The sequence below is a fragment of the Homo sapiens genome, chromosome 4 (genome assembly GCF_000001405.40).
Source record: "Homo sapiens chromosome 4, GRCh38.p14 Primary Assembly".
NCBI lineage: Eukaryota > Metazoa > Chordata > Mammalia > Primates > Hominidae > Homo > Homo sapiens.
The window spans coordinates 102,585,978-102,597,371 of NC_000004.12; the positions used below are offsets into that span (position 1 = coordinate 102,585,978).

The following is an 11,394-nucleotide window of genomic DNA, read 5'->3' on the forward strand; positions in this document are numbered from 1 at the left end:
GAATGGCAGCTTAAGAATTTTGCATTAATTCTGGAGAGGGATAGCCGGGCCTGCCTAGGTTTGGAATGATGGCTCTGACTTCTTTATGTCACCACTGAGGGTACCATTTAGGAGGCAGATGATGAGTCAGAAGAGTAATGCAAGAATCCAAGTGAGAAACAGTGCAGTTAGTAAAGGTCCTAGTGCCAGGAATGAAAGGAGATGGTGGACTTAAGAGAGAGTGCAGTGATACTGTGATACAGTGATACTGTCAAGAGGGCCTAGAGGTCGGAGGTGTAGGAGAGACGGGGAGTCATAGATGGGTCTAAGACTCCCTGACCAGGAAGCTTGTGATGTGGTTGACTTGATGAAAGGAACAAGGGAGCAAAAGTAGATTTGGGTGGGAAAAGAAGGAGCTCAGAGTAAAACATGTTATATTTTAGGTCCCTGTGGGAAAATCAAGTGTAAGTTCTTAGTAGGCAGATCAAAAGGCAGAACTGGAACTCAAGAGAGGACAGGGTGAGAAATTTAGCATTAGAATCATCTCAAAACGAGATATAACAGGCACCAACTGAGTCATCATTCAAAGGTATTTCTTAACCTAGAGTCCACTGACCCCCAAAGAGTCTGTGGATAGAAATGTACTTTGATATCATCAGCTTCTTTTATAATCCTGTTTTGTATTTTACATACTGAAAACCATGATTCTGAGAAGAGATCCATAGAGTTCACCAGACTGCAGAAGGGGCTGTGGCACAAACAAAATTAGAAACCCCTCAGTTGGAGGGAAGTGAGACTGGGAAGGGAGGTCAGTAAAATGATTGCCACGGGGCACCCAGATCCTTGCTGAGGTTGGAAACCGCAAAGGTGCAGCAGCAACAAGCCACATGGGTGGGTGTTGTCTCCTGTGAGAGCAAGATGTGATAGGTAATCTTTGAAGAGGGCTTTCCTTTCCTAGAATTCGTGCTGCCACAGGAGTGTTTAGAAAACGGTTCTACAAGTTCTTGTTTCTTTTCTGAGGTTGTGGCCTCTCCATTGTTTGGTCAGATTTGTAGTGCACTCTATATCCTGGTGGTTTGAAAACATTGTCAGCACAATAACTTTTCTTTCTTCACATGAGATTTCATACAAAATCCCAGTGTATGGACATGGTAGGCTTTGATTAAAATAGGGGTGAAGGGCCCTGCCAGCTCGGCCTTCCGAGAGGCTGTCCCACCTCTCCTTACTTCCCTATCAGGAGCTGCTGGAGGTCTTTTGAATGCTTCTGCCTACACAAAATGATGTGAAAATCACTGCTTTAATTTAAACACCCTTCTTTAAAAGTAGACACAGAAGAAAAATATGGATAATTTTTTTAGACTTTCTGAGGAAAAAAATAGATTTCTTCTCCAGAAATATGTCTTCAAATAATGCCAGTTTTTGCTAACACAGAGAATCATGAAGAAAGAAAACCCAGGTTACCTGTATGTGTATGAACCTAGAAACATTCAAAGCTCAGCTTGGTATCTAGGCTGCCTGTCTCCCTTTCCCAGTGGTATCTATGCCTCAGAAAAGTATGTTATAGTGGGGGTATATTCAGGTGATTACTTTAATGCCTCGTTATCATAGTAGGAACTATCCAATGCAGGGATTAGAGAATGGGGTCACCTGAAAGTTCAAAATTGCACCTGTATGCTTCATGCACCTACCTTCCAGGCTGTCATTGATGAAAAGCTTCATACAATACAAAGTTTAAGAACTGTCTGGAGAAATACTTACCCATTGAGCTCTGAAGGAAAGAATGGACAACATATATATATATGAGGACAACAAATTACTTGATTCTATAGAAACCTTCTGGATTATAAAAACTCAAGATAATAGGACCAAGGAGAAATAATCTGACCAGGCAATATAACTGGTCAGAAAAGTAGTAGGCCATTTAGCATTAGAGTAAGTAGATAGAAATGGATCCAAACTGTACAACCCAGGGAAACATTGCATACATTTCTCAGAAGTCATTGAACACACTTTTCCTTACCCCCAGTCTCTGTAGTCATTCCCTATCTCATTGCCTAATTTTATGTTCTTCATTATTTTTATCAATATGTAAACCTGTCTTATCTATTTATTTATGGGTCTATTGTCTTCCTACCACCCCGAGTACAAAGAATCTTCTTTAGGTCATAGACTATCTAGAACAGTATAAGTTGCATAGAAAATGCTCATTAAATATCTGTGGACTGACTTATTGATTGACCAGCCAAGCTGCCATCCATCCTCATCTATAAGGCTAGTAATATGTTGGGTATCATCAGGTAAGACATTATACATAAATATAAAGCATCATACAGAACCAGCCCGGAGCTTTGCATCCTCTATGGTCATCAACATTGTACTTCACAAAAAATTATTGGAGATGGTTGGGTCCAGGGGAGACGATCGAAATAATCAAGAGAAGGATGATTGGCAGAGGAGGAAGATAGTTGAGGAACTGCTGTACAAAAGCAAAAAAAAATAAAAAAAAAATAAAAGAGACCATAATGATTTTTCAGTCTGAAAGATGGAGATTAGGGATAAATAATCTTTAAATTATGAAAGGTATGGCCAAGATAAATGCAGTCACCTTTACTGGTAAACTAAAACCTGAAAAGTGAGAATGAGGTACTTTTAAGGCACATGCACAGAAATAGGTAGCAAACACTAGGAGATTATCCATATTTGTGAATTGAACTATTATCTAAAGTCATCAACTGTTATGTAAAGTCATTGATTATTAAAGTCACTGGTTATTATTATACAAAGCTATTTTGGAGTGTTTTCAAAAGAATGACAGCCTAACATAATGAAAACATCACTGCACTTTGAGACTGATCTTGACTCCATTGTGACCTCAGATAAGTCACCTAACCCCTCCTAGCTTCAGTTTCCTCTCCTGCAAAAGGAGAACTTGTAGTAAGTGGCTGCTTTGGTTCCTTCTAAAATAGGTTGATGTTTCATAGTACATCCCATGGTGCCATTGTCAAAAGCAGACCGCAAGGATAAATGATCCCTTGAATATGGAGTGTGAAAGTCTCCATATTCAATTCTGTGGAGATTCAAACAGCAGGTTCTTTTATAAAGCTTATGTGGAATGTTCTGTATCAGTTTCTTGTCATTGGAATCTTACTAGCTGTGTTATAATTAATATTTTGCCCTTAAAATTCCCATTTTACAGTGAAATACAGCCAATAAATATCTCTCTGCTTTAAAAGGTAAAATGAATACATAGAAAATACTAACTAGTCTCTTTGCTGGAATCCATGTCAATAGATAACATTTATTTCTGAAGATAAATAAGTTGCCTGCTTCCCTCTTGTGTTTCATATGTCTGCAGTGAACAGTAATGAGTATAGCTGTAAATTAGTTAAGATAGAACCGATGGGGAAATTATAAATCTGAATCTAAAACATATTTGATAAGTAAGTCAAAGTTTCTCCACTTAAAGGTCATCCCCTTCTAGTGGAAGCATATTTTTCTCAAAATTTGGCAACCTTGGTTTTTTTTTTTTCCTGGGAAGTCTGGAGATGCTCAGCTTTTAAACAACTATTAAAGTGTACTTTGTTACCCTGCTTTCCCCTGCTTCATCTTTCAACTGCAGTTAGATGATCATGAGATAATCAGTAAACAGAGACCTTCTATCTAGCCCTAAGATGACTGAAACAACCACAGAATTAGAAATAATCGAAGTTCTTTCTGAACATAAGCATGACAAAACTGACATTGAAGAATCAGAAATAGAATAATTGTTAAGGGTTCAGCACTAATCAAAAAAAAGAATACCTCATTGACTGTATTTAATTTGAAAAAACGAAATAAAACCTCCTTAACTGCTCCAGCCCAAAAAAAGAGAAGAAAGGTATATGATAGAAAAAGAAGAGAAAGAAAAGGAAACAGAAAGGAGAAACAAGAACACAGTAACACCACATAGGCAGTAACGGAACTCAAAAGGGCATTGGGGCTGGTGAGAAGCACAGATAGCGAGAAACAGAAAGATGAAAACAAAACAAAAAGAAAAGCAATCAGAAGTCTCAGAGGGCATCACTGTATTGTAGTCAAATAGTGGTCTTAGACTTTTAGCCCCAGTATCTCATCAGTCACCAGAGGTTACAGATCCCTTGGTTACTGTTTTTCTGGCATCCACCCCATTTTTATTATCCTGGTGACCACTAAGGAATGGGCCTCCATCACTTATGTCCGCATTGTCTCTGCCTCTCACTTTAACTCTTTAGTATGTCCCACACACACGTAAAAGATGAACTTCCTAAAATACCATCCCCTACACATTATTTCCCTGTTCAAAAACATTCAGCAGCTTTCTTGCCTGTAAGTTCATTCTCCGGGTGCTCCGCAGTGTTGTCCCAAACAGTTCCATTTCTCAGGAATTCCTTATACAGTCATAGCTTGTTTCTTTATATTTTGCAAATACTGTGATTTTTACAAATTGAAGGTTTGTGGCAATAGTGTCAAGAAAGTCTATTGGTGCCATTTTTCCCACAGCATGTACTCACTTTATGTCTCTGTGTCACATTTTGGTAATTCTCTCAATACTCGAAACTTTTCCATGATTATTATATCCATTATGGTGATCTGTGAACAGTGATCTTTGATGTTTTGGGGGTACCACAAGAAGTGTCCATGTAAGATGACAAACTTAATCGATAAATGTTCTGTGTGTTCTGACTGCTCTACTGACTGGCAATTCCTCCATCTCTCTCCCTCTCCTCAGGCTTCCCTATTCCCTATCACACAACCATATGGAAATTAGGCCAATTAATAACCTTACAGTGGCCTCCAAGTGTTCAAGTGAAAGGAAAAGTCACACCTCTCACTTGAAATCAAAAGCCAAAAATGATTAAGCTTAGTGAGGAAGGCATGTCAAAAGCTGAGATAAGCCCAAAGCTAGGCCTCTTGTGCCAGTTAGCCAAGGTTTTAGTGGTCTGAGTAGAAGATTAAACCAGCCACAACATTCCCTTTTACCAAAGCCTAATCCAGAGAAAGGCCTTAACTCTCTTCAATTCTATGATGGCTTAGAGAGGTGAGGAGGCTGCAGAAAAAAAGTTGGAAGCTAGCAGAGGTTGGTTCATGAGGTTTAAAAAAGAAGCCATCTCGATAACGTAAAAGTGCAAGGTGAAGCAACAAATGCTAACAGAGAAGCTGCAGCAAGTTATCCAGGAGATCTAGTTCAGAAAATTGATGAAGGTGGCCACACCAAACAGATTTTCAGTGTACAAGAAACAACCTTCCATTGGAAGAAGATGCCATCTAGGACTTTCATAACTAGAGAGAAGATGTAGAAATGCCTGGCTTCAAAGCTTTTAAAAACAGGCTGACTCTCAGGAGGTTGAGGTGGGAGGATCACTTGAACACAGAAGGTCGAGGCTGCAGTGAGCTATAATTGCACCACTGCACTCCAGCCTGGGCAACAGAGTGAGACCCTGGCTCAAAAAAAAAAAAAAAAAAGGCAGACTTTCTCATTAGGAGTTAATGCAGCTGGTGACTTTAAATTGAAGCCAGTGCTCATTTATCATTCTGAAAATCCTAGAGCTCTTAAGAATTATGCCAAATCTTCTCTGCCTTTGCTCTGTAAATGGAACAAGAAAACCTGGATGACAGCACATCTGTCTACAGCATGGTTTACTGAATATTTTTAAACCCACTGTTGAGACCTACTGCTCTGAGAAAAAAGAAAAAAAAAGGATTCCTTTCAAAATGGTAGTGCTCATTGACAATACACCTAGTCACCCAAGAGCTCTGAAGGAGATCTTTTCATGGCTACTAACAGCCATTCTGCAGCCCATGGATCAAAAAGTAATTTTGACTTTCAGTCTTATTGTTTAAGAAATACATTCTGTAAGGCTGTAGCTGCCGTAGATAGTGATTACTCTGATGAATCTGGGCAAAGTAAATTGAAAACCCTGTGGAAAGGATTTACCATTAACCACATTTGTGATTCATGGAAGGAGGTCAAAATATCTACATTAATAAGAATTTGGAAGAAATTGATTCCAGCCCTCGTGGGTGACATTGAGGGGTTCAAGGCTTCAGTGAAGGAAGTAACAGCAGATGTGGTGGAAATAGCAAGAGAATGAGAGTGAGAAGTAGAGCCTGAAGATGAGACTGAACTGCTGCTCATGATTTAACTTTCATGGTTGAGGAATTGCTTCTTATGGATGAGCAAAGAAAGTAGTTTCTTGAGATAGAATCTACTCCTGGAGAAGATGCTGTGAACATTCTTGAAATGACAATAATTTAGAATATTCCATAAACTTAGTAAAGCAGCAGCAGTGTTTGAGAGAATTGACCCTAGTGTGGAAAGAAGTTAAAACTGTGGATAAAATGTTATCAAAACAGCATTGTATACTATAGAGAAATCTTTTGTGAAAGGAAGAGTGAATTGACAAATTTCATTTTTGTCTTATTTTTAAAAATTGCCACAACCACCCAGCCTTCAGTAGCCACCACCCTTATCAGTCAGCAGCCATCAACATTGAGGCAAGACCTTCCACCAGTACAAAGATTACAACCTGCTGTAGGCTTAGGTGATCATTAGCCTGTTTTAGCAATAAAGTGTTTTTAATTAAGATATGTACATTGCTTTTTAAGACATTCTGTTGCACACTTAATAGCCTATAGTATAGTGTAAACATAATTTTTTTGTGTACTGGGAAACCAAAAACATCATGTGACTTGGTTTGTTGCAGTAATGTGGAATTGAACCTTTCAATATCTCAGAGGCATGCCTGTACTAAACTTTCACTTCAGCCAAACTTATCTACTCCTGTTCTCAAAAGCACCCTGTGTACATCTTCTTTTTCCTCTTCTTATATAAAACTGATTCTGAGAAGCCTTTCCTGAATTTCCCATCCCTCAGTGAACTCCTAAAAGGTTTTCCCCAAACTCCTAGAACACTGATCTGCACCATGAATTTAATGTATGTCCTGTTATAGTGCTGTCTCACTAAGTCTTTCCCCCACTATCTTAAAATTATGTTGGAGGGTTCTTGGCAGCAAAGACATTATGTCATGCTTTTTTTTATTTCCAGCATTTAGCTCATTGTAGATGCATAATAAATGTTAACTTTTTAACATGAGTTATTTTGTGTGACCAAGCAAAAGGGTCAATAATTTTTTAATTCAGCATCTTCAGGATCTTTTTGATGGATAATCAAATATTTCACTAGTTTTAACAACACTGGGGACTTAAGAAACTGTTGTAGAGTGGATTTGGGTGTGTACTGCTCTGTGGTCTCTCTGGAGCTAACTTTCAGCCTTCATACCCATTGGAATAAATATAACGCTTCTTGAAATTTACCATCTCTTCCTCTTTGAGTGCTTTCTATTTCCCTTTAAGATGTTTAAAAATACCATTAGAATCAGTGGTCTTTCTGTGGCTAGTGGTGGGACCAAATCAATCTTTTCTCCTCTGGTTTCTCTTCCTTTAAATACAGATAAAGAAGAAGTGCAGAGGAAACGTCAGAAGCTCATGCCCAATTTTTCGGATAGTTTCGGCGGTGGTAGTGGTGCTGGAGCTGGAGGCGGAGGCATGTTTGGTAGTGGCGGTGGAGGAGGGGGCACTGGAAGTACAGGTCCAGGTACAAAAATACTTATTCTTCCTAAAACTTTTTCATATTGGAGAGGGTAGAATTTTCTTTTCTTTGGTTTCTGAGCATGTCTGTGAGTTGAGTGGCTATGATATTATTGAGTATATTAATTAAAATTTCCTGACAAATGTAAATTTATTTTTCAAAGAAATCCATGTTCATTTTACAATATGTAGGTAATCTCAAAAGTCATTAAGAAGAAAAAAAAGTACCCCAAAGCCAGTTATTTAATGAATACCTTCCTAAAGATTTTGGTATATTTCTCTTTTACATTTTTTGACATAGTTGTCTTGTTTTTGTTTGGAAACATTGAAAAGATTGTATATTATCATACTACAATATAGCTATATATTAAACATCTCTATATACTACATTGTAGAAACTTTGAAAATACATAAAATCTGCCATCAAAGGTTAACTACTACTATTTTTATGTATATGTTATAGTATATATTTGTAAATTTTACCCTGAATACAGCTGTGATCATCATTATGCATTTTATTTTAATCCATTTATTTGCAATACTATTTTACTATCATTTGCACCATGACTGTGTGTATAGAGTCATAGGTGCAACGTTTACCTGAGATGTTAACATAAACATTTCCTCCAGTAATATGAACTTTAAGCATAAATTTTAAGCATCATTTTAATGACTCATTTCCTCAAGTGAACAAACCATAGTATAACTTACTTACATGTAGTTTCCTGTTTTCTATATAAAATGCTATACTGAACCTCTGTCCACCTAACTTTTCACTTATTCCAGATTACTTTTGTAAATTAGAGTCTTTGTAGTAAAATTACTACGTCAGAGGGCATGACATCTAATGCCATCTGTTTTCCCAAAGAGTTGTACCAGTTTATGCTTCCACCAAAAATGCCTAAGAATGAACAGTGGTGGCCATTTTTCCATTGAGGAGTCAGTATGTTTTTCTGTGCTTTGTTTGATTAAGTTTTTTTCCTCAAGGGGTTATTTTAATGTCTTCTACATAGGCAAGTCTGAGTTTGGTTGGTGACCCTCACTATTAGCCTCTCCCCTTCACATAGGAGTGAAGGCTTTCTCCATTACAACCCCTCCCCAAATCTGGGGTGCTGTCAGAGTTGCCAACATGTAAACTTTACCAAAGTGGAATTCTGATAGTCCCATGACCCCCACCATGTGTCTTAGTCCCAACAGAAAAACCATGTGTGGGCACAATACTGTCCTGTCACACCAAAGGCTGTGCTCACCTGAGAGACAGACACTAAGTTGTGCTGAGTCTTTGTAAAATATCTTCATGATGTTTCATTTGTTTTACTTGCCGTTTCAGGGTATAGCTTCCCACACTATGGATTTCCTACTTATGGTGGGATTACTTTCCATCCTGGAACTACTAAATCTAATGCTGGGATGAAGCATGGTAAGTAATGCTTTGTTCTTAATACCAAGAAAGGAAAAAAATAATTAATGCTAAAAAGGGTTTTTAAAATCATTACTTATCACAACAGTATTATCATCTTGACAAATAATTGATGAATGCAAATAAACTAAGAAGATACTTTTCCCAAAAGATATTATTTCCTGTGGCTAGTATAAACTCTATTACTTTTATATATTTTATATATTTACTTTGTAAGTGGCATGAACAGAGGAAAGAAAAGAGCATTGAAAAGAGACAACAGAGACCTGACTATTCAAATATTTTAAACATCATCAAACTTAATGTATTCTGTCTCTTTTTTTCTCAAATAGTACACTTCTGAAATCATTTTGAGTTTTATAGGATCGGTCTTTTCCCATCAAGTCATCCCCTGAGAAGCTGCAGTTAAACCACATGTTGATAGTTTATATTACAGGTCCATTCTAGTGTACCCATGGAAGAAATAATACTATAAAGAAGTCTTCCCATTTATTGAATACCTATTTTTGTGCCAAGTGCTTTTACATGTTTTAACTGTTATCTTCATGACTGCTCTATATGGAAAATAGTAACTCCATTTTGCACACAAAAGGCATCAAAGTTCAGAAATGTTCGTACTCACTGAAGGCACACAGAAGTTAGTGGCAGAACAAGAATTTGAAGCAGGTCTCCTGCAGAAAAGCTAGATGCTCTCATAGTATCTGTCAGATAACATAGTTGAACCTGAAAGAGGGTGATCAGGAATGGTACACTGGATAACTCCCACACTAAAGAATGTGAGTCGACAACACGTCTTTATGATTTGCTTTGTTCATTAGCATTAGGAAAAAACTGCTCTGTTTTCAAGAACTTTAAAAATTCAGCTTTCCTGCAATTCATAGAAGAGCTTTATTTCATTTTTCTCCTTTACAAATAAGCAAAATGAGATTTAAGATTTTAGAAGTATACTAAAAATGATTTTTAGAAATGAGTTTAGAATATCTCCAAAACATGGTATTTATGATATGACCATTTTTAAAAGAATTTTAAATTATTATTTTTCTTTTCCTTTTGCAGCAAACTTGTCTCTTACCTTTATCTGACCTACATTGGAATAGCGAATTATCACTAAATACATTTTACTGAGAAAAATCTGATGTTTTTGCATTTATCTTAGGAACCATGGACACTGAATCTAAAAAGGACCCTGAAGGTTGTGACAAAAGTGATGACAAAAACACTGTAAACCTCTTTGGGAAAGTTATTGAAACCACAGAGCAAGATCAGGAGCCCAGCGAGGCCACCGTTGGGAATGGTGAGGTCACTCTAACGTATGCAACAGGAACAAAAGAAGAGAGTGCTGGAGTTCAGGGTAAGTGAGCACACAAATTACGTTCTGTTGGTTGGCTGGGGAGGGGTCAGTCCTAGGTGCAGAAAGATATCTGCTAATCTAAAGATGATATATCAATATCTAGTTTAGTGTACTCTTCAAAGTTCTGTATGCCTTTGGAAAAGCATATGTCAGATCATTTTATTCACACTGGGATTTCCATTTTTGCTCTGTTATCTTTGAATGTAAAGGACAGAAATTTATATGTACATTCTCCAGTCATAATCATGCAGTTTTAGGGTATTGTGAGAGATAATCAACTTCTTTTCTGGCACAGATAAATAGAGAAGTATTTCCACAAGCTTAATAGTCACCCTGTCTAGATTCTGGCTTAACCGTCATACTGAAATAGAACTTTGCCTTAAAATAGGAACTTTTCTTTTTATCTTGTGCCCTCTTTGAAGAAGTAGGATTAGGAGAAAATGTACTTTTGCGTTTACTGTGAACCAATACTTATTAGCATATGTGTCATGATTCTAGGTCATCCTAGATCGTACTAAGAAGACGTCTATAAAAGCAAAGGTAGTAAATATTTAGAGTTGGTGGCCACATGTGGTGTCTATCACATATGCTTTTTTTTTACACCCCTTTAAAAATGTATAAGCCATGATTAGCTAGGGAGCTATATGAAAAGCAGGCCATAAACAGGTTTTGGCCCAAAGGTCACAAATGCCATTCCCTGACCTTAATGGAACAAACTTTACAAAAACGTGAGTGGCTCATTGAACGTCTCTGTTTATGGCAGAGATGTGTGTTTTTTCACACATTGCCTAACAAGCTAATTGTTAGAGATTCCAATGAAGGATTATTTCACCAAGATATTGGTGATTTAAAATCATGGTAAAATCTAACATTGTTTGGAGATTGTTTTCCTTAAAATAACAGATAATGGTCGTTCCCTTAAAATAATACATTTCTAAACTTTTTTCCTCTAACAAATCATACACAGATTCTTTAAGATCAATCTCTAACTATATTTGTCAGTGACCCAGTGTCCAATTCTGCTTTTTCTAGTCCACAC

The 11,394-nt window shown here is 37.2% G+C and overlaps 1 protein-coding gene across 12 annotated transcripts in view, besides 2 other annotated features; it reads left to right on the top strand.

Annotated features, from left to right (window-relative positions):
• Positions 1-11,394, top strand: part of NFKB1 (nuclear factor kappa B subunit 1) — a 115,944-nt gene that overhangs the window by 84,619 nt on the left and 19,931 nt on the right. For all 12 annotated transcript variants that reach the window (NM_001382626.1, XM_024454069.2, NM_001382627.1 and 9 more), the window contains 3 exons: positions 7,448-7,591; positions 8,915-9,004; positions 10,161-10,355. In NM_001382626.1, coding sequence (NP_001369555.1) covers positions 7,448-7,591; positions 8,915-9,004; positions 10,161-10,355 — 429 coding nt within the window. The remainder of the gene's footprint in view (positions 1-7,447; positions 7,592-8,914; positions 9,005-10,160; positions 10,356-11,394) is intronic.
• Positions 313-382: an enhancer, noted in NCBI's record as "active region_21754". NCBI's record gives its function as "activates an Ori minimal core promoter by ATAC-STARR-seq in GM12878 lymphoblastoid cells {active_cell/tissue: GM12878}" and the evidence as "EXISTENCE:reporter gene assay evidence [ECO:0000049][PMID:35858748]".
• Positions 883-932: a silencer, noted in NCBI's record as "silent region_15598". NCBI's record gives its function as "represses an Ori minimal core promoter by ATAC-STARR-seq in GM12878 lymphoblastoid cells {active_cell/tissue: GM12878}" and the evidence as "EXISTENCE:reporter gene assay evidence [ECO:0000049][PMID:35858748]".